At 50.3% G+C, this 23118-nt stretch overlaps 1 protein-coding gene across 14 annotated transcripts, besides 2 other annotated features; it reads left to right on the top strand.

Moving 5' to 3' along the window:
- Positions 6895-7394: an enhancer, noted in NCBI's record as "H3K4me1 hESC enhancer chr14:94856929-94857428 (GRCh37/hg19 assembly coordinates)". NCBI's record gives its function as "activates a minimal SCP1, AML or CMV promoter by ChIP-STARR-seq in naive H9 embryonic stem cells {active_cell/tissue: H9 hESC(naive)}" and the evidence as "EXISTENCE:reporter gene assay evidence [ECO:0000049][PMID:30033119]".
- On the top strand, positions 7351-21239 carry SERPINA1 (serpin family A member 1). 14 transcript variants are annotated; one of them, NM_001127704.2, is made up of 7 exons: positions 7351-7529; positions 8976-9167; positions 9326-9426; positions 14745-15394; positions 16845-17115; positions 18375-18522; positions 19346-21239. In NM_001127704.2, exons 4-7 carry the CDS (start codon positions 14749-14751, stop codon positions 19535-19537), a joined length of 1257 nt encoding a protein of 418 aa, NP_001121176.1. In that variant the 5' UTR covers positions 7351-7529; positions 8976-9167; positions 9326-9426; positions 14745-14748; the 3' UTR covers positions 19538-21239. The 14 variants fall into 14 exon arrangements, with proteins under 14 accessions (NP_001121176.1, NP_001121175.1, NP_001121177.1 ...); NM_001127703.2 differs by having other exon boundaries at positions 9323-9426; NM_001127705.2 differs by having other exon boundaries at positions 8976-9185.
- Positions 7395-7896: an enhancer, noted in NCBI's record as "H3K4me1 hESC enhancer chr14:94856427-94856928 (GRCh37/hg19 assembly coordinates)". NCBI's record gives its function as "activates a minimal SCP1, AML or CMV promoter by ChIP-STARR-seq in naive H9 embryonic stem cells {active_cell/tissue: H9 hESC(naive)}" and the evidence as "EXISTENCE:reporter gene assay evidence [ECO:0000049][PMID:30033119]".

Raw genomic sequence — 23118 nt, 5'->3', positions numbered from 1 at the left:
AGGGCAAGGTGAACCCATTGGGCAGTTACAAAACTGCTGCTCCTCAAGGAGCTTCTATATGCTTGGACCGTATATTGTTACTACATCAGCCATCTCCAAAACACACCAAAGTAGGTACGTTCCCAGTTTTATTCCTGGGCTCAATGAGAGATTAAATAACTTCCTAAATTCCCACAGCTAATAAGCAACAGATTAGGATTTGAGCCCCATGTTGTCCGACTTCATCACAGAAGCTTTTCCACTCCATCAGACCGCCTTCCGAGGGTTAGGGCATTTGGAGGAAAGCCAAAAAGGTGAAGGAGAACCCCCGGGGAAGTCACCTTTTTAGAGACCCTGAAAGAAACTGTCATGTATTTGAATAGAGTCTTTCCATTTGTTTAAGTTAAAAGGAATTAAAGGCATGCTTTCTTATAAAGGCAACCCATTCTTGTGAAAATATAAACACACAGAAACATAAAGAACAAAGTAGAAGTCATTGTCCCAGCTGGCAAATCTGCATTCCAGGAGAGTCACTGGGTTGTGTCTCAGAGCCTTCCATGCATCTCCTTTAGTTTCTCTATATATGCATAGACTCTTACCCTATACAATGTATTGTACGTGGCTTTGTTCTCTTACTTCCAACCAAAACAAAAGACCAAAAGAGAAGAGGAAAATAGAAAGAGGAGGAGTCTCTCTGAACCTATTCTGGTATGGGGACTGCCCAATTTTTTTTTCCAAAAAGGAAAAGAAAGGGAATCAACATTATTGTTACCAGAAAGGGGTTCTGATCCAGACCCCAAGAGAGGGTTCTTGGATCTTGCACAAGAAAGAATTCAGGGTAAGTCACAGAATAAAGTGAAAACAAGCTTATTAAGAAAGTAGAGGAATAAAAGCATGGCTACTCCATAGACAGAGCAGCCCTGAGGGCTGCTGGTTGCCCATTTTTATGGTGTTTCTTGATATGCTAAACAAGGGGTGGGTTATTCATGCCTTCCCTTTTTAGACCATATACAGTAAATTCCTGACATTGCCATGGCATTTGTGAACTGTTATGTGCTGGTGAAAGTGTGGCAGTGAAGACAACCAGAGGTCATTCTTGTGGCCATCTTGATTTTGGTAGGTTTTGGCCAGCTTCTTTACTTCAACCTGTTTTATTGGCAAGCTCTTTATGACCTTGTGCTGACCTCCTAACTCATCCTGTGACTTAGAATCTCTTAACAATCTGGGAATGTATCCCAGTAAGTCTCAGCCTCATTCTAACCAGTCCCTATTCAAGATGGAGTCACTCTTATTCAAATACCTTTGACATTATGAAGTGTCTTCTCTATGCTGGTCCTCTCTGTGTACTCATTTATTTCATCTTAGCAACCAACTCTAAGACCTCGGAACTATAAACTCCACTTACACATATGGACAGTAAAGCCATAAGGAGTTAAGTAACTTGTCCACAGTAAACTGAGCCTAGCTCTAACTCTCCCAAATCTCATAATCTTGCCATAGTCTACACTATTTCAGGTGGTGTCAGGGCCATCATTTTTTCCAGAGCCCTTAAAATAAGGAAGGAGACCCCCAAAAGTCTTATGTGGGGATGTTAGTGTGTGTATGCACATGTGTGCAAACTGTTTGTCTTCAGCACCCTAAGTGCCTTGTCCTGCCCTCCCTGGTAAACCTGAGGGCTCCATCCCAAGAGAGCAGGGCACTTCTCCAAGTGTGTCCTCAGCTCCCTGAATCCCATCCACACAGCTTCCAGTACCTGAGCCTAAGTCGCTTCACAGAGTCTTCCCTATCTGCTTCCCACGTAGCCCCGCTGGAGAACAGAGGTAGAGGGAAGAGGGCAGAGAAGTCCAGAACACACACGTCCTCATTGTTTGCTAGGAGGGCTGATGTTGACCCAGCTTGTGTTTGCCCTTCTTGCCCAATGCTCTCTGAGGGGGAGAGCCAAACACCAGGTCCTGAGAACCAGTTTAAGTAGAATGGAAATCATTGATTTTTCACTAAATTCCTGAAACAACGTTGTTTTTTGTTCCCAGTCATTTCACTGAATTAAATTTCTATTTGTCTGCCATCAGAACAACAGGCACACAGTCCCAAGGGTGAAAGAGTAAGGAAATACTATTTATTCAACCAGGCACTTTCTGTAATCCTCACTGCAGCCCCACCATGTCAGGACTATCATCTCCATTCCACAGATAAAAGAGATGAAGTCGCTGGCTCTGGGTTCTTGGTGGTTAATGGCAGATCTGGGATTTGAACTATGTCCAACTTCTTTTCCACTTAATTCCTGGAATCCTTCCAAGACAGCAAGGAAAGGGGAAGGAGGGAAGAGAAAAAAAAAGCAAGGAGTGGAGAGAAAAGGGTTTTTTTTTAATACAGTTTATCATACTCTACAAATAGCCATTCCACCCAAAAGAAATGAAAATACAAAGACTTCTACATGAATGCTCTTAGAAGCTTCACCCATAACAGACCAAAGTGGAAGCCACCCAGACATCCGTCAATAAATGGGCTAATTGTGGTCCGCCCACACAATGATGATGGAATAGGACTCAGCAAGAAGCATAAGCGCACTGCTGATATTGGTGACAACATAGATCAATCTCAGAAACATGATGTTGAACTAAAGAAGACAGACACAAAAACATAGGTAGTGTATTATCCCATTTACATGCTCTTCTAGAAGGGGAAAAACCAGTCTATGGAGACAGAAGTCAGAACAGAAGTTACCTTCGGGAGGCATTGATAGAAAGAGGACTTTGTGGATGGGAGAATTTGCTCTGTCTTGCTCAGAATGGCGGTTACACAGATGCACACACATGTAAAAATGTATTGAGCTGTGTATTTAGGAGTTACAGTTTTACTACATGCAAATAACACGTCCATAAAAAGTAAATCGATAAAGACAGGGAAGGGATGGTGGCACAGGGGAGATGCGGAGAGGCTGGAGGATTCAAGAGAGGCTTTATAGTGTCATCTTATATATTCTCTTCAATCCTAACGTGCAAAGTAGGTATAATAAAACCTTCCTTGCAGAGCTGCTGGGGAAATGAACGTTTGTGAGCACAAATTTCTGACAGAGGCCTTGGCATCTGGTAACCAATCAGCAAATGGGTTGCTTTGGCTGGGATTCTGCTGATGAGCTCAGGAGGGGCCACAAGGAGAATGGAAAGAGGGACGGCAGGGGCATGATGCAACCTCCTTCCTCATCGGTGGATTTCATCATGACAGCTCAGTCCTTGCTCTGTTGTCCTCCCACGGACTGTTTCCCTTTTCTCATGGGGCAGACAGAGGAGGCGGGTGGAAAAGCAGCTTGGGTGGTGGTGGAAGCCCAGGCTTGGCACTGGGTTCTAGGTCCTGGCTGGGAGGCTTTGGCAGCCTGCTAACCTCTCCCTCCTCAGTGTTAGACTCCAGCTTGAATAGTAAAGCAACTGGGTTTGTTTTGTTTTGTTTTACCTAAGAAGTTGCACGCCTCACACAAATTTTTAGCATATGCGAGGTTTTCACACTTTCACCCTGGCAAGACACCTCAGCCATCTGATTAAAGAAATGCTCCATTTCCATGACCCTTGATTAACTCAGTTCATGAAGCAACCTTTGATCACCTATTCTGTGCTCAGTACAAAGCCACAGAGATGGAAAAAACACAGTCCCTGCCCTCCGGTTACTTGCAGCCTGGTGATGCCACCGAGCTTTGGGGTCATGCGCCTCACAGCCTGGTTAGAATCTGCCCTCCACCACTTGCCAGCTCTGTGACCCAGGGCTAGGTGCTCGACGTCTATGAACCTCAGTTTCCTCATCTGTAAAATGGGATAACAGAAATATCGACTTCATAGGCTTGATGTGAGGACGAGGAGTTAATCTGTAACCAATGCTTGGAATGGCTCTGGCATGAGCCACGTGCTCACTGTTACCTATTATGCTAATGTTACAAAGGGATGTGTAGGAAGTGTTGGGGAAGCAGCAAGCAGGGAGAAAGAGAGGAAGGGAGAGAGGGAGGTACCTGTTTCAGCATCAGGGTAACACTCTGCCTCAGTTTCCTCATCTGTTCTAAGGCAGTAACAGTGGTACTCACTGCACAGGATAGAGTGAGGTGATGCATGTGAAGTGTTTAAGACAGGGCCTGGCAGAGGCCACATGTGCAAGGAGTCTCAGCCGCGATTCAGGGGGTGGCACACCACCGCTGGAGTATTTGGAGATTTATATTATAAAATTTCGGAAGCAAGAGGCCTGTTAAAACCAAGCAAATAGAAATGCTCAAAATCAACATGAAGGAGTCAACAGGGTAAATCGAACAATTTGAAGCCAAGGTCGGAGTTGGGCAAATTAAGAGCCCTATTGCTCTCTGTTATCTAAGCCACCCACGCAGGGCATGTATTTCTGAATAATAAGCCCTCAAGTCCTGCTGGGTCTCCCATAGTCCCCACGCAAGGGTGAGTCTTGCACGCTCAGCCCTGCCTGTGGTTCCCAGAAGGCCTCTGTCACTGCGTGCTTGCTTTCTCTCCCAGGGAAGATACCCCAGTGCCATGTCTTGGGGCAAGAGAAAATGAAGACAGACCTGGAACATGAACATGGTGGCCTTGCCAGAAAGCAAGTGTGTGTTGCTGAAACATCAGCAGAGATTGTCAAAGGGATAAAGAGATAACTTAAAAGGGTTCCTATTGACCAAAATGCGACAAGTTGACCATCTAAAATCAAATCATAATTATAGTTCAATAGGACACATTGAGTCTCTTAAAAGCTTCCAATCCGTAATGACCATCAAGGCCCATAACCTCAAAAGAGTAAAGTTAAAATAAAGTTCAGAAAAGGTTAGCTGCAATAAAACATGAGTTTTAGTAATTTTAACAAGAAGGGGATGAAGCTATAGATGCATTTTTATTCCTTCTTTTAACTATGTTGCCCCTTATAATGTATAGCTTTGCCTTATTTTTCTCTGTCTGAGTAAGGATAAAGAGTAAAGGCCAGGCACAGTGGCTCACACCTGTAATTCCAGCACTTTGGGAGGCCGAGGCGGGCAGATAACTTGAGGCCAGGAGTTTGAGACCAGCCTGGCCAACATGGTGAAACCCTGTCACTACTAAAAATACAAAAATTAACTGGAATTGGTAGCACATGCCTGTAATGCCAGCTACTCTGGAGGCTGAGGCACGAGAATCGCTCGTAATTCCAGAATTCGAGAGGTGGAGTTTGCAGTAAGCCAAGATTGCGCCACTGTACTCCAGCCTGGGTGACTGAGTGAGACTCTGTCTCAAAAAAAAAAAAAAAAAGAAGAAGCTGTGAGTAGGCCACATAGTTCCAGAAAATGCAGAAATCCCCCCTCCCCTCCCCAACACACAGGAAGTGGCTCAGGAGATTACACACAGAAGGAAAGTGTGTCTGCTGGGGTTTTGCAAGTTGGCTAATTTGAAAGGTGACTGGAGGAGGTGAAAAAATGGTGCAAACTTCATTCATTCATTAAATGAGTTATAAGAAGACAGACACAAGTGTCCATTATGCTAACAGAGCTCTGTGTTAAACACCCCACCAGCATCGCCTCATCTAAGCCTCAGAAGAGCTATGTGGGAAAGAAACTTTTATCCCTATTTTATAGATGAGGAAACCAAGGCTCAGAGAACTGAGGGCCTCCCCCGGATCCAAGTCCACCTAGCTGCAGTCACCCCACATCCTCTGCATGTCACAGGTGCTCAGAAAGATGCTGAAGGCACCTGGCCCTTCACCTTCGGAAAGCCAAAATGAGCACGGCCCCTAAAGAGGGGATTGACAGCCTTTTCTGGAAAAAATGGAAGTTTGAATCTGAGGAGGTGTCCCTCAACAACAGGTGCTGCTCCCCAAATCTGGGGCCAAACGCAGCAGTTGTTCCCCCACTTAGACCCCTGAGACCCATCTATATGGTTTTTCAGAGCCAGGACACATCCCCAAAGGTCATGGCCTTTGGTGGTTAGCATTGACTTGGGGCCCATCACATGCCAGAGGCTGCCCGAAGTGCTTAAATGTTATTATCTCATTCGATCTTCACAGTCCTGATGGAAGTGACTCTTCTTAGAGTCTTCCTATCTCACAGATGAGGAAACCGAGGCACAGAGAGGTTAAGTGGCTTGTCTAAGAGCTCACAAAAAGAGCGATGGAGCTAAGGCTTGGCCCCAGATATTAGATCCCGAACCCACGCCTTAACCAGTGACCTGCACTGACTCTCAAAGAAGGAAGCTGGTGCCTGGGAAGGAGGGTGCATAGTGAGGGTGTGCATGGGGTGTGTGTGTTTGTGGGGTGGCCAGCACTCTCCGGGGGCACTTTGCCAATGAGTTCAGCTCCCATGAAGTCCACTGTTGTTCTCCTGACCAGCCACTCAGTCTTGATTTACTTGGCCCAGGGCCACTGGCACACCTCACCCCCTTACCCGATTCCTTGCTGCAGACCCCAAATCTCGACTCTCACATCCCTATCCAGCCCATACCACGAGGCTCCCATCTCCAGGCAGGGCCCTGTGGTGGGGCAGGGCCTCCCCCAGATGCCCCTTACTCATGACCAGCTCACAGGATCTTCCCATGATGCATTTCCTCTGGGGGGATCAGCCCAGATGCTGCAATAGACAATTGTGGAAGTAACCAGGTGGACAAGACTTTCCCCCTCATGTCCTGGGGTTCCTGGGGGCACAGTATCCTTGTGAATGGCCACTGAGTACTCCCACCCCTCCCACCACAACCCCCGGGATTTTGTCCTGGTGCGTTTTTCCAGATTATCCTAGCCCTTCCTCCCAGGATGGATGTCCAGAGCAGGGCGGGGGCTGAGCCTAGAGCCCTGCCAAAAGAGCAGGACCCCAAATTCTGAGCCCCTTACTTGCCTCACCTGCTCCCACCCATGCTTTCTTCATTCCTCCTCCAAAAGCCCCAGCTCCCCACTGCAATCCCTTCTGCACCCAGCCAGGTCCTATGACACACACCTCCCCAGTGCACACAGACCTGCCCAACTGTGGGGCTGCCCACTGGGCATTTCATAGGTGGCTCAGTCCTCTTCCCTCTGCAGCTGGCCCCAGAAACCTGCCAGTTATTGGTGCCAGGTCTGTGCCAGGAGGGCGAGGCCTGTCATTTCTAGTAATCCTCTGGGCAGTGTGACTGTACCTCTTGCGGCAACTCAAAGGGAGAGGGTGACTTGTCCCGGGTCACAGAGCTGAAAGGGCAGGTACAACAGGTGACATGCCGGGCTGTCTGAGTTTATGAGGGCCCAGTCTTGTGTCTGCCGGGCAATGAGCAAGGCTCCTTCCTGTCCAAGCTCCCCGCCCCTCCCCAGCCTACTGCCTCCACCCGAAGTCTACTTCCTGGGTGGGCAGGAACTGGGCACTGTGCCCAGGGCATGCACTGCCTCCACGCAGCAACCCTCAGAGTCCTGAGCTGAACCAAGAAGGAGGAGGGGGTCGGGCCTCCGAGGAAGGCCTAGCCGCTGCTGCTGCCAGGAATTCCAGGTTGGAGGGGCGGCAACCTCCTGCCAGCCTTCAGGCCACTCTCCTGTGCCTGCCAGAAGAGACAGAGCTTGAGGAGAGCTTGAGGAGAGCAGGAAAGGTGGGACATTGCTGCTGCTGCTCACTCAGTTCCACAGGTGGGAGGGACAGCAGGGCTTAGAGTGGGGGTCATTGTGCAGATGGGAAAACAAAGGCCCAGAGAGGGGAAGAAATGCCCAGGAGCTACCGAGGGCAGGCGACCTCAACCACAGCCCAGTGCTGGAGCTGTGAGTGGATGTAGAGCAGCGGAATATCCATTCAGCCAGCTCAGGGGAAGGACAGGGGCCCTGAAGCCAGGGGATGGAGCTGCAGGGAAGGGAGCTCAGAGAGAAGGGGAGGGGAGTCTGAGCTCAGTTTCCCGCTGCCTGAAAGGAGGGTGGTACCTACTCCCTTCACAGGGTAACTGAATGAGAGACTGCCTGGAGGAAAGCTCTTCAAGTGTGGCCCACCCCACCCCAGTGACACCAGCCCCTGACACGGGGGAGGGAGGGCAGCATCAGGAGGGGCTTTCTGGGCACACCCAGTACCCGTCTCTGAGCTTTCCTTGAACTGTTGCATTTTAATCCTCACAGCAGCTCAACAAGGTACATACCGTCACCATCCCCATTTTACAGATAGGGAAATTGAGGCTCGGAGCGGTTAAACAACTCACCTGAGGCCTCACAGCCAGTAAGTGGGTTCCCTGGTCTGAATGTGTGTGCTGGAGGATCCTGTGGGTCACTCGCCTGGTAGAGCCCCAAGGTGGAGGCATAAATGGGACTGGTGAATGACAGAAGGGGCAAAAATGCACTCATCCATTCACTCTGCAAGTATCTACGGCACGTACGCCAGCTCCCAAGCAGGTTTGCGGGTTGCACAGCGGGCGATGCAATCTGATTTAGGCTTTTAAAGGGATTGCAATCAAGTGGGGCCCCACTAGCCTCAACCCTGTACCTCCCCTCCCCTCCACCCCCAGCAGTCTCCAAAGGCCTCCAACAACCCCAGAGTGGGGGCCATGTATCCAAAGAAACTCCAAGCTGTATACGGATCACACTGGTTTTCCAGGAGCAAAAACAGAAACAGGCCTGAGGCTGGTCAAAATTGAACCTCCTCCTGCTCTGAGCAGCCTGGGGGGCAGACTAAGCAGAGGGCTGTGCAGACCCACATAAAGAGCCTACTGTGTGCCAGGCACTTCACCCGAGGCACTTCACAAGCATGCTTGGGAATGAAACTTCCAACTCTTTGGGATGCAGGTGAAACAGTTCCTGGTTCAGAGAGGTGAAGCGGCCTGCCTGAGGCAGCACAGCTCTTCTTTACAGATGTGCTTCCCCACCTCTACCCTGTCTCACGGCCCCCCATGCCAGCCTGACGGTTGTGTCTGCCTCAGTCATGCTCCATTTTTCCATCGGGACCATCAAGAGGGTGTTTGTGTCTAAGGCTGACTGGGTAACTTTGGATGAGCGGTCTCTCCGCTCTGAGCCTGTTTCCTCATCTGTCAAATGGGCTCTAACCCACTCTGATCTCCCAGGGCGGCAGTAAGTCTTCAGCATCAGGCATTTTGGGGTGACTCAGTAAATGGTAGATCTTGCTACCAGTGGAACAGCCACTAAGGATTCTGCAGTGAGAGCAGAGGGCCAGCTAAGTGGTACTCTCCCAGAGACTGTCTGACTCACGCCACCCCCTCCACCTTGGACACAGGACGCTGTGGTTTCTGAGCCAGGTACAATGACTCCTTTCGGTAAGTGCAGTGGAAGCTGTACACTGCCCAGGCAAAGCGTCCGGGCAGCGTAGGCGGGCGACTCAGATCCCAGCCAGTGGACTTAGCCCCTGTTTGCTCCTCCGATAACTGGGGTGACCTTGGTTAATATTCACCAGCAGCCTCCCCCGTTGCCCCTCTGGATCCACTGCTTAAATACGGACGAGGACAGGGCCCTGTCTCCTCAGCTTCAGGCACCACCACTGACCTGGGACAGTGAATCGTAAGTATGCCTTTCACTGCGAGAGGTTCTGGAGAGGCTTCTGAGCTCCCCATGGCCCAGGCAGGCAGCAGGTCTGGGGCAGGAGGGGGGTTGTGGAGTGGGTATCCGCCTGCTGAGGTGCAGGGCAGATGGAGAGGCTGCAGCTGAGCTCCTATTTTCATAATAACAGCAGCCATGAGGGTTGTGTCCTGTTTCCCAGTCCTGCCCGGTCCCCCCTCGGTACCTCCTGGTGGATACACTGGTTCCTGTAAGCAGAAGTGGATGAGGGTGTCTAGGTCTGCAGTCCTGGCACCCCAGGATGGGGGACACCAGCCAAGATACAGCAACAGCAACAAAGCGCAGCCATTTCTTTCTGTTTGCACAGCTCCTCTGTCTGTCGGGGGCTCCTGTCTGTTGTCTCCTATAAGCCTCACCACCTCTCCTACTGCTTGGGCATGCATCTTTCTCCCCTTCTATAGATGAGGAGGTTAAGGTCCAGAGAGGGGTGGGGAGGAACGCCGGCTCACATTCTCCATCCCCTCCAGATATGACCAGGAACAGACCTGTGCCAGGCCTCAGCCTTACATCAAAATGGGCCTCCCCATGCACCGTGGACCTCTGGGCCCTCCTGTCCCAGTGGAGGACAGGAAGCTGTGAGGGGCACTGTCACCCAGGGCTCAAGCTGGCATTCCTGAATAATCGCTCTGCACCAGGCCACGGCTAAGCTCAGTGCGTGATTAAGCCTCATAACCCTCCAAGGCAGTTACTAGTGTGATTCCCATTTTACAGATGAGGAAGATGGGGACAGAGAGGTGAATAACTGGCCCCAAATCACACACCATCCATAATTCGGGCTCAGGCACCTGGCTCCAGTCCCCAAACTCTTGAACCTGGCCCTAGTGTCACTGTTTCTCTTGGGTCTCAGGCGCTGGATGGGGAACAGGAAACCTGGGCTGGACTTGAGGCCTCTCTGATGCTCGGTGACTTCAGACAGTTGCTCAACCTCTCTGTTCTCTTGGGCAAAACATGATAACCTTTGACTTCTGTCCCCTCCCCTCACCCCACCCGACCTTGATCTCTGAAGTGTTGGAAGGATTTAATTTTTCCTGCACTGAGTTTTGGAGACAGGTCAAAAAGATGACCAAGGCCAAGGTGGCCAGTTTCCTATAGAACGCCTCTAAAAGACCTGCAGCAATAGCAGCAAGAACTGGTATTCTCGAGAACTTGCTGCGCAGCAGGCACTTCTTGGCATTTTATGTGTATTTAATTTCACAATAGCTCTATGACAAAGTCCACCTTTCTCATCTCCAGGAAACTGAGGTTCAGAGAGGTTAAGTAACTTGTCCAAGGTCACACAGCTAATAGCAAGTTGACGTGGAGCAATCTGGCCTCAGAGCCTTTAATTTTAGCCACAGACTGATGCTCCCCTCTTCATTTAGCCAGGCTGCCTCTGAAGTTTTCTGATTCAAGACTTCTGGCTTCAGCTTTGTACACAGAGATGATTCAATGTCAGGTTTTGGAGTGAAATCTGTTTAATCCCAGACAAAACATTTAGGATTACATCTCAGTTTTGTAAGCAAGTAGCTCTGTGATTTTTAGTGAGTTATTTAATGCTCTTTGGGGCTCAATTTTTCTATCTATAAAATAGGGCTAATAATTTGCACCTTATAGGGTAAGCTTTGAGGACAGATTAGATGATACGGTGCCTGTAAAACACCAGGTGTTAGTAAGTGTGGCAATGATGGTGACGCTGAGGCTGATGTTTGCTTAGCATAGGGTTAGGCAGCTGGCAGGCAGTAAACAGTTGGATAATTTAATGGAAAATTTGCCAAACTCAGATGCTGTTCACTGCTGAGCAGGAGCCCCTTCCTGCTGAAATGGTCCTGGGGAGTGCAGCAGGCTCTCCGGGAAGAAATCTACCATCTCTCGGGCAGGAGCTCAACCTGTGTGCAGGTACAGGGAGGGCTTCCTCACCTGGTGCCCACTCATGCATTACGTCAGTTATTCCTCATCCCTGTCCAAAGGATTCTTTTCTCCATTGTACAGCTATGAAGCTAGTGCTCAAAGAAGTGAAGTCATTTACCCCAGGCCCCCTGCCAGTAAGTGACAGGGCCTGGTCACACTTGGGTTTATTTATTGCCCAGTTCAACAGGTTGTTTGACCATAGGCGAGATTCTCTTCCCTGCACCCTGCCGGGTTGCTCTTGGTCCCTTATTTTATGCTCCCGGGTAGAAATGGTGTGAGATTAGGCAGGGAGTGGCTCGCTTCCCTGTCCCTGGCCCCGCAAAGAGTGCTCCCACCTGCCCCGATCCCAGAAATGTCACCATGAAGCCTTCATTCTTTTGGTTTAAAGCTTGGCCTCAGTGTCCGTACACCATGGGGTACTTGGCCAGATGGCGACTTTCTCCTCTCCAGTCGCCCTCCCAGGCACTAGCTTTTAGGAGTGCAGGGTGCTGCCTCTGATAGAAGGGCCAGGAGAGAGCAGGTTTTGGAGTCCTGATGTTATAAGGAACAGCTTGGGAGGCATAATGAACCCAACATGATGCTTGAGACCAATGTCACAGCCCAATTCTGACATTCATCATCTGAGATCTGAGGACACAGCTGTCTCAGTTCATGATCTGAGTGCTGGGAAAGCCAAGACTTGTTCCAGCTTTGTCACTGACTTGCTGTATAGCCTCAACAAGGCCCTGACCCTCTCTGGGCTTCAAACTCTTCACTGTGAAAGGAGGAAACCAGAGTAGGTGATGTGACACCAGGAAAGATGGATGGGTGTGGGGGAATGTGCTCCTCCCAGCTGTCACCCCCTCGCCACCCTCCCTGCACCAGCCTCTCCACCTCCTTTGAGCCCAGAATTCCCCTGTCTAGGAGGGCACCTGTCTCATGCCTAGCCATGGGAATTCTCCATCTGTTTTGCTACATTGAACCCAGATGCCATTCTAACCAAGAATCCTGGCTGGGTGCAGGGGCTCTCGCCTGTAACCCCAGCACTTTGGGAGGCCAAGGCAGGCGGATCAAGAGGTCAGGAGTTCAAGACCTGCCTGGCCAACACGGTGAAACCTCAGCTCTACTAAAAATACAAAAATTAGCCAGGCGTGGTGGCACACGCCTGTAATCCCAGCTATTTGGGAAGCTGAGACAGAAGAATTTCTTGAACCCGGGAGGTGGAGGTTTCAGTGAGCCGAGATCACGCCACTGCACTCCACCCTGGCAGATAAAGCGAGACTCTGTCTCAAAAAAAACCCAAAAACCTATGTTAGTGTACAGAGGGCCCCAGTGAAGTCTTCTCCCAGCCCCACTTTGCACAACTGGGGAGAGTGAGGCCCCAGGACCAGAGGATTCTTGCTAAAGGCCAAGTGGATAGTGATGGCCCTGCCAGGGCTAGAAGCCACAACCTCTGGCCCTGAGGCCACTCAGCATATTTAGTGTCCCCACCCTGCAGAGGCCCAACTCCCTCCTGACCACTGAGCCCTGTAATGATGGGGGAATTTCCATAAGCCATGAAGGACTGCACAAAGTTCAGTTGGGAAGTGAAAGAGAAATTAAAGGGAGATGGAAATATACAGCACTAATTTTAGCACCGTCTTTAGTTCTAACAACACTAGCTAGCTGAAGAAAAATACAAACATGTATTATGTAATGTGTGGTCTGTTCCATTTGGATTACTTAGAGGCACGAGGGCCAGGAGAAAGGTGGTGGAGAGAAACCAGCTTTGCACTTCATTTGTTGCTTTATTGGAAGGAAACTTTTAAAAGTCCAAGGGGGTTGAAGAATCTCAATATTTGTTATTTCCAGCTTTTTTTCTCCAGTTTTTCATTTCCCAAATTCAAGGACACCTTTTTCTTTGTATTTTGTTAAGATGATGGTTTTGGTTTTGTGACTAGTAGTTAACAATGTGGCTGCCGGGCATATTCTCCTCAGCTAGGACCTCAGTTTTCCCATCTGTGAAGACGGCAGGTTCTACCTAGGGGGCTGCAGGCTGGTGGTCCGAAGCCTGGGCATATCTGGAGTAGAAGGATCACTGTGGGGCAGGGCAGGTTCTGTGTTGCTGTGGATGACGTTGACTTTGACCATTGCTCGGCAGAGCCTGCTCTCGCTGGTTCAGCCACAGGCCCCACCACTCCCTATTGTCTCAGCCCCGGGTATGAAACATGTATTCCTCACTGGCCTATCACCTGAAGCCTTTGAATTTGCAACACCTGCCAACCCCTCCCTCAAAAGAGTTGCCCTCTCAGATCCTTTTGATGTAAGGTTTGGTGTTGAGACTTATTTCACTAAATTCTCATACATAAACATCACTTTATGTATGAGGCAAAATGAGGACCAGGGAGATGAATGACTTGTCCTGGCTCATACACCTGGAAAGTGACAGAGTCAGATTAGATCCCAGGTCTATCTGAAGTTAAAAGAGGTGTCTTTTCACTTCCCACCTCCTCCATCTACTTTAAAGCAGCACAAACCCCTGCTTTCAAGGAGAGATGAGCGTCTCTAAAGCCCCTGACAGCAAGAGCCCAGAACTGGGACACCATTAGTGACCCAGACGGCAGGTAAGCTGACTGCAGGAGCATCAGCCTATTCTTGTGTCTGGGACCACAGAGCATTGTGGGGACAGCCCCGTCTCTTGGGAAAAAAACCCTAAGGGCTGAGGATCCTTGTGAGTGTTGGGTGGGAACAGCTCCCAGGAGGTTTAATCACAGCCCCTCCATGCTCTCTAGCTGTTGCCATTGTGCAAGATGCATTTCCCTTCTGTGCAGCAGTTTCCCTGGCCACTAAATAGTGGGATTAGATAGAAGCCCTCCAAGGGCTTCCAGCTTGACATGATTCTTGATTCTGATCTGGCCCGATTCCTGGATAATCGTGGGCAGGCCCATTCCTCTTCTTGTGCCTCATTTTCTTCTTTTGTAAAACAATGGCTGTACCATTTGCATCTTAGGGTCATTGCAGATGTAAGTGTTGCTGTCCAGAGCCTGGGTGCAGGACCTAGATGTAGGATTCTGGTTCTGCTACTTCCTCAGTGACATTGAATAGCTGACCTAATCTCTCTGGCTTTGGTTTCTTCATCTGTAAAAGAAGGATATTAGCATTAGCACCTCACGGGATTGTTACAAGAAAGCAATGAATTAACACATGTGAGCACGGAGAACAGTGCTTGGCATATGGTAAGCACTACGTACATTTTGCTATTCTTCTGATTCTTTCAGTGTTACTGATGTCGGCAAGTACTTGGCACAGGCTGGTTTAATAATCCCTAGGCACTTCCACGTGGTGTCAATCCCTGATCACTGGGAGTCATCATGTGCCTTGACTCGGGGCCTGGCCCCCCCATCTCTGTCTTGCAGGACAATGCCGTCTTCTGTCTCGTGGGGCATCCTCCTGCTGGCAGGCCTGTGCTGCCTGGTCCCTGTCTCCCTGGCTGAGGATCCCCAGGGAGATGCTGCCCAGAAGACAGATACATCCCACCATGATCAGGATCACCCAACCTTCAACAAGATCACCCCCAACCTGGCTGAGTTCGCCTTCAGCCTATACCGCCAGCTGGCACACCAGTCCAACAGCACCAATATCTTCTTCTCCCCAGTGAGCATCGCTACAGCCTTTGCAATGCTCTCCCTGGGGACCAAGGCTGACACTCACGATGAAATCCTGGAGGGCCTGAATTTCAACCTCACGGAGATTCCGGAGGCTCAGATCCATGAAGGCTTCCAGGAACTCCTCCGTACCCTCAACCAGCCAGACAGCCAGCTCCAGCTGACCACCGGCAATGGCCTGTTCCTCAGCGAGGGCCTGAAGCTAGTGGATAAGTTTTTGGAGGATGTTAAAAAGTTGTACCACTCAGAAGCCTTCACTGTCAACTTCGGGGACACCGAAGAGGCCAAGAAACAGATCAACGATTACGTGGAGAAGGGTACTCAAGGGAAAATTGTGGATTTGGTCAAGGAGCTTGACAGAGACACAGTTTTTGCTCTGGTGAATTACATCTTCTTTAAAGGTAAGGTTGCTCAACCAGCCTGAGCTGTTCCCATAGAAACAAGCAAAAATATTCTCAAACCATCAGTTCTTGAACTCTCCTTGGCAATGCATTATGGGCCATAGCAATGCTTTTCAGCGTGGATTCTTCAGTTTTCTACACACAAACACTAAAATGTTTTCCATCATTGAGTAATTTGAGGAAATAATAGATTAAACTGTCAAAACTACTGACAGCTCTGCAGAACTTTTCAGAGCCTTTAATGTCCTTGTGTATACTGTATATGTAGAATATATAATGCTTAGAACTATAGAACAAATTGTAATACACTGCATAAAGGGATAGTTTCATGGAACATACTTTACACGACTCTAGTGTCCCAGAATCAGTATCAGTTTTGCAATCTGAAAGACCTGGGTTCAAATCCTGCCTCTAACACAATTAGCTTTTGACAAAAACAATGCATTCTACCTCTTTGAGGTGCTAATTTCTCATCTTAGCATGGACAAAATACCATTCTTGCTGTCAGGTTTTTTTAGGATTAAACAAATGACAAAGACTGTGGGGATGGTGTGTGGCATACAGCAGGTGATGGACTCTTCTGTATCTCAGGCTGCCTTCCTGCCCCTGAGGGGTTAAAATGCCAGGGTCCTGGGGGCCCCAGGGCATTCTAAGCCAGCTCCCACTGTCCCAGGAAAACAGCATAGGGGAGGGGAGGTGGGAGGCAAGGCCAGGGGCTGCTTCCTCCACTCTGAGGCTCCCTTGCTCTTGAGGCAAAGGAGGGCAGTGGAGAGCAGCCAGGCTGCAGTCAGCACAGCTAAAGTCCTGGCTCTGCTGTGGCCTTAGTGGGGGCCCAGGTCCCTCTCCAGCCCCAGTCTCCTCCTTCTGTCCAATGAGAAAGCTGGGATCAGGGGTCCCTGAGGCCCCTGTCCACTCTGCATGCCTCGATGGTGAAGCTCTGTTGGTATGGCAGAGGGGAGGCTGCTCAGGCATCTGCATTTCCCCTGCCAATCTAGAGGATGAGGAAAGCTCTCAGGAATAGTAAGCAGAATGTTTGCCCTGGATGAATAACTGAGCTGCCAATTAACAAGGGGCAGGGAGCCTTAGACAGAAGGTACCAAATATGCCTGATGCTCCAACATTTTATTTGTAATATCCAAGACACCCTCAAATAAACATATGATTCCAATAAAAATGCACAGCCACGATGGCATCTCTTAGCCTGACATCGCCACGATGTAGAAATTCTGCATCTTCCTCTAGTTTTGAATTATCCCCACACAATCTTTTTCGGCAGCTTGGATGGTCAGTTTCAGCACCTTTTACAGATGATGAAGCTGAGCCTCGAGGGATGTGTGTCGTCAAGGGGGCTCAGGGCTTCTCAGGGAGGGGACTCATGGTTTCTTTATTCTGCTACACTCTTCCAAACCTTCACTCACCCCTGGTGATGCCCACCTTCCCCTCTCTCCAGGCAAATGGGAGAGACCCTTTGAAGTCAAGGACACCGAGGAAGAGGACTTCCACGTGGACCAGGTGACCACCGTGAAGGTGCCTATGATGAAGCGTTTAGGCATGTTTAACATCCAGCACTGTAAGAAGCTGTCCAGCTGGGTGCTGCTGATGAAATACCTGGGCAATGCCACCGCCATCTTCTTCCTGCCTGATGAGGGGAAACTACAGCACCTGGAAAATGAACTCACCCACGATATCATCACCAAGTTCCTGGAAAATGAAGACAGAAGGTGATTCCCCAACCTGAGGGTGACCAAGAAGCTGCCCACACCTCTTAGCCATGTTGGGACTGAGGCCCATCAGGACTGGCCAGAGGGCTGAGGAGGGTGAACCCCACATCCCTGGGTCACTGCTACTCTGTATAAACTTGGCTTCCAGAATGAGGCCACCACTGAGTTCAGGCAGCGCCATCCATGCTCCATGAGGAGGACAGTACCCAGGGGTGAGGAGGTAAAGGTCTCGTCCCTGGGGACTTCCCACTCCAGTGTGGACACTGTCCCTTCCCAATATCCAGTGCCCAGGGCAGGGACAGCAGCACCACCACACGTTCTGGCAGAACCAAAAAGGAACAGATGGGCTTCCTGGCAAAGGCAGCAGTGGAGTGTGGAGTTCAAGGGTAGAATGTCCCTGGGGGGACGGGGGAAGAGCCTGTGTGGCAAGGCCCAGAAAAGCAAGGTTCGGAATTGGAACAGCCAGGCCATGTTCGCAGAAGGCTTGCGTTTCTCTGTCACTTTATCGGTGCTGTTAGATTGGGTGTCCTGTAGTAAGTGATACTTAAACATGAGCCACACATTAGTGTATGTGTGTGCATTCGTGATTATGCCCATGCCCTGCTGATCTAGTTCGTTTTGTACACTGTAAAACCAAGATGAAAATACAAAAGGTGTCGGGTTCATAATAGGAATCGAGGCTGGAATTTCTCTGTTCCATGCCAGCACCTCCTGAGGTCTCTGCTCCAGGGGTTGAGAAAGAACAAAGAGGCTGAGAGGGTAACGGATCAGAGAGCCCAGAGCCAAGCTGCCCGCTCACACCAGACCCTGCTCAGGGTGGCATTGTCTCCCCATGGAAAACCAGAGAGGAGCACTCAGCCTGGTGTGGTCACTCTTCTCTTATCCACTAAACGGTTGTCACTGGGCACTGCCACCAGCCCCGTGTTTCTCTGGGTGTAGGGCCCTGGGGATGTTACAGGCTGGGGGCCAGGTGACCCAACACTACAGGGCAAGATGAGACAGGCTTCCAGGACACCTAGAATATCAGAGGAGGTGGCATTTCAAGCTTTTGTGATTCATTCGATGTTAACATTCTTTGACTCAATGTAGAAGAGCTAAAAGTAGAACAAACCAAAGCCGAGTTCCCATCTTAGTGTGGGTGGAGGACACAGGAGTAAGTGGCAGAAATAATCAGAAAAGAAAACACTTGCACTGTGGTGGGTCCCAGAAGAACAAGAGGAATGCTGTGCCATGCCTTGAATTTCTTTTCTGCACGACAGGTCTGCCAGCTTACATTTACCCAAACTGTCCATTACTGGAACCTATGATCTGAAGAGCGTCCTGGGTCAACTGGGCATCACTAAGGTCTTCAGCAATGGGGCTGACCTCTCCGGGGTCACAGAGGAGGCACCCCTGAAGCTCTCCAAGGTGAGATCACCCTGACGACCTTGTTGCACCCTGGTATCTGTAGGGAAGAATGTGTGGGGGCTGCAGCTCTGTCCTGAGGCTGAGGAAGGGGCCGAGGGAAACAAATGAAGACCCAGGCTGAGCTCCTGAAGATGCCCGTGATTCACTGACACGGGACGTGGTCAAACAGCAAAGCCAGGCAGGGGACTGCTGTGCAGCTGGCACTTTCGGGGCCTCCCTTGAGGTTGTGTCACTGACCCTGAATTTCAACTTTGCCCAAGACCTTCTAGACATTGGGCCTTGATTTATCCATACTGACACAGAAAGGTTTGGGCTAAGTTGTTTCAAAGGAATTTCTGACTCCTTCGATCTGTGAGATTTGGTGTCTGAATTAATGAATGATTTCAGCTAAAGATGACACTTATTTTGGAAAACTAAAGGCGACCAATGAACAACTGCAGTTCCATGAATGGCTGCATTATCTTGGGGTCTGGGCACTGTGAAGGTCACTGCCAGGGTCCGTGTCCTCAAGGAGCTTCAAGCCGTGTACTAGAAAGGAGAGAGCCCTGGAGGCAGACGTGGAGTGACGATGCTCTTCCCTGTTCTGAGTTGTGGGTGCACCTGAGCAGGGGGAGAGGCGCTTGTCAGGAAGATGGACAGAGGGGAGCCAGCCCCATCAGCCAAAGCCTTGAGGAGGAGCAAGGCCTATGTGACAGGGAGGGAGAGGATGTGCAGGGCCAGGGCCGTCCAGGGGGAGTGAGCGCTTCCTGGGAGGTGTCCACGTGAGCCTTGCTCGAGGCCTGGGATCAGCCTTACAACGTGTCTCTGCTTCTCTCCCCTCCAGGCCGTGCATAAGGCTGTGCTGACCATCGACGAGAAAGGGACTGAAGCTGCTGGGGCCATGTTTTTAGAGGCCATACCCATGTCTATCCCCCCCGAGGTCAAGTTCAACAAACCCTTTGTCTTCTTAATGATTGAACAAAATACCAAGTCTCCCCTCTTCATGGGAAAAGTGGTGAATCCCACCCAAAAATAACTGCCTCTCGCTCCTCAACCCCTCCCCTCCATCCCTGGCCCCCTCCCTGGATGACATTAAAGAAGGGTTGAGCTGGTCCCTGCCTGCATGTGACTGTAAATCCCTCCCATGTTTTCTCTGAGTCTCCCTTTGCCTGCTGAGGCTGTATGTGGGCTCCAGGTAACAGTGCTGTCTTCGGGCCCCCTGAACTGTGTTCATGGAGCATCTGGCTGGGTAGGCACATGCTGGGCTTGAATCCAGGGGGGACTGAATCCTCAGCTTACGGACCTGGGCCCATCTGTTTCTGGAGGGCTCCAGTCTTCCTTGTCCTGTCTTGGAGTCCCCAAGAAGGAATCACAGGGGAGGAACCAGATACCAGCCATGACCCCAGGCTCCACCAAGCATCTTCATGTCCCCCTGCTCATCCCCCACTCCCCCCCACCCAGAGTTGCTCATCCTGCCAGGGCTGGCTGTGCCCACCCCAAGGCTGCCCTCCTGGGGGCCCCAGAACTGCCTGATCGTGCCGTGGCCCAGTTTTGTGGCATCTGCAGCAACACAAGAGAGAGGACAATGTCCTCCTCTTGACCCGCTGTCACCTAACCAGACTCGGGCCCTGCACCTCTCAGGCACTTCTGGAAAATGACTGAGGCAGATTCTTCCTGAAGCCCATTCTCCATGGGGCAACAAGGACACCTATTCTGTCCTTGTCCTTCCATCGCTGCCCCAGAAAGCCTCACATATCTCCGTTTAGAATCAGGTCCCTTCTCCCCAGATGAAGAGGAGGGTCTCTGCTTTGTTTTCTCTATCTCCTCCTCAGACTTGACCAGGCCCAGCAGGCCCCAGAAGACCATTACCCTATATCCCTTCTCCTCCCTAGTCACATGGCCATAGGCCTGCTGATGGCTCAGGAAGGCCATTGCAAGGACTCCTCAGCTATGGGAGAGGAAGCACATCACCCATTGACCCCCGCAACCCCTCCCTTTCCTCCTCTGAGTCCCGACTGGGGCCACATGCAGCCTGACTTCTTTGTGCCTGTTGCTGTCCCTGCAGTCTTCAGAGGGCCACCGCAGCTCCAGTGCCACGGCAGGAGGCTGTTCCTGAATAGCCCCTGTGGTAAGGGCCAGGAGAGTCCTTCCATCCTCCAAGGCCCTGCTAAAGGACACAGCAGCCAGGAAGTCCCCTGGGCCCCTAGCTGAAGGACAGCCTGCTCCCTCCGTCTCTACCAGGAATGGCCTTGTCCTATGGAAGGCACTGCCCCATCCCAAACTAATCTAGGAATCACTGTCTAACCACTCACTGTCATGAATGTGTACTTAAAGGATGAGGTTGAGTCATACCAAATAGTGATTTCGATAGTTCAAAATGGTGAAATTAGCAATTCTACATGATTCAGTCTAATCAATGGATACCGACTGTTTCCCACACAAGTCTCCTGTTCTCTTAAGCTTACTCACTGACAGCCTTTCACTCTCCACAAATACATTAAAGATATGGCCATCACCAAGCCCCCTAGGATGACACCAGACCTGAGAGTCTGAAGACCTGGATCCAAGTTCTGACTTTTCCCCCTGACAGCTGTGTGACCTTCGTGAAGTCGCCAAACCTCTCTGAGCCCCAGTCATTGCTAGTAAGACCTGCCTTTGAGTTGGTATGATGTTCAAGTTAGATAACAAAATGTTTATACCCATTAGAACAGAGAATAAATAGAACTACATTTCTTGCACTTATGAGCTTTCTGTGAATCAGACATCCCTATGAAGTACCTCCCCTGGCTGTTTCTCATTTACTCACTGTAGCAGCACTGCGATGTGTGAGTATATCTGCTGTGCTCTTAAACTCCAAATCTGAGGAAACTGAGGCTCAGAGAGGCTACTGGTCTCCCACAATGTCACACAGCTCATAAGTGGCAAAGCTGGCTTGATGGGCTACTTGTTCCTCTGAACCATACCACCTCACCACACTCTCCCCTTCGAGGGTCACGCTAAACTTCTGCAGAGGTAATTCCTCCTTAAACCAGAAGGGTTGCTGGTGGCCCACAGCTCACGCCTAGCACACTTCATGAGAAAAACACCCTGTGCCCAGTGTGGAGCAGGCATTGAGCTGAAGGTGGTGAGCAGAAGCTCATCCACCAGATGTTGACACAGCCCGCAGCCTTGGGCGACCCACAGGACTCCTCTTATTTAACTGGCATTTGGTAGGAGAACAGGGGCAGAGTCAAAGACAAGTTGGCTTTCTGGAGAGCCCAGGGCAGGGAAGGAGGTGGCAGCGCTGAGGGCGGTCACCTTAGACACCATCGTTTTACTTTGAAGAATTGTCTGTCACACACGAGTTGACAGTCAGGATGGGAGAGACCCCATTCAAACTAGCATAACCTCCCAGAGGGAATTCCTGGGCTCCCCTGGGAATCAACAGGGATCAGTCAAGGATGGGCAGAGTGTCATGACAACCTCATTATGAGGAAGACAAATATATGTCACAAGTCCGTGATGGGACAACCATAAGACCTCAGCTTCACTGTATCTTCCAGAGTTTTAAAAAAATGTATTCACTGTCCAACGTGATCCTCCAGACAGGTTCTGCAGGACGCAGCCTAGGACTCATTATCCCCAAAGTACACATGGGGAAACTCAGGCCCAGCAGGTCAAATGCTCTGTCCAGTGTGGGCCTGGAAGGCAGGTCTTCTCCACTGTTAGGCCTGGCTGTCCCCAACAGCACATACTTCCTCAGTCCATATGGGATCACGATAAACAACTCCATCCTCCAGGACCACACTGCATCAACCTGCTGTGCCCTAACATCAGCTGAAGGCCAAGCTGCGGGGCACCCTGGGTGTTCCAAGTCACTTTCCCTCTGCAGGCAGGAACCTCATCCTGCTCTGAAACAGATGAGAGGGAAACGCAGAAAACAGCTTCCAGCTCAGCCAGGAACCTTAGAGTCCTGACCTTTTACCTCGCCTAGGAGTTTGCAGGGGAGAGAACACACGAATTTCGGATTTTAAGCCTAAATAAAGGAAGCCTTAGTTTGAAGTGCAAGCTCTGCCGGACAGGGGGCACCCTGTGAGCCCCATTTGTTAAGAGGACAATAGTCAGAGAGCTTCCAGGCTCTCACACCAGAAACAGGAAATACAGATTTCACACTGATCTCCTTCCCAGGAGCAACTTGATCCTCTCCATAAATCCGAGCGGGAAGCATTTATCCAAACAACAAACAAGCAAACATGAGCTGTGTATGGGGGATAGAGAGAATGAAACCCAGGTCCATCCCGGGGAGAATGCTGGTCTATGGCAGTGGGGAGCAGTGAATAAATGAGGCGTACATCCATGGATCTGGGTGGAGAGGGTCAGGGTGTAACCCAGGACCTTTCCAGAGGCATGAGAAACAGTCAGCCTACACCCACAGATGACCTCAAACACCCCAAGTGCTCCTTGAAAGGCTGAGGCTTTTGTGTTGCTCTTGGTTGGATTATTCACAGGCAATGAAGTAAACAAGGCACACCACAGGACTCAGAACCAGGGACAGCTTCCGCAGGAACCTGGGTCAGTTCTAAAAGGACAAATGGAATGACCCTGAGTAGAGAAGTCAGAGAAAGGCACTCTCACTGA

Source organism: Homo sapiens, chromosome 14, assembly GCF_000001405.40.
Source record: "Homo sapiens chromosome 14, GRCh38.p14 Primary Assembly".
Classification (NCBI taxonomy): domain Eukaryota; kingdom Metazoa; phylum Chordata; class Mammalia; order Primates; family Hominidae; genus Homo; species Homo sapiens.
The sequence above is the reverse complement of the archived record's forward strand: the minus strand, read 5'-3'. Positions and strand labels throughout refer to the sequence as shown.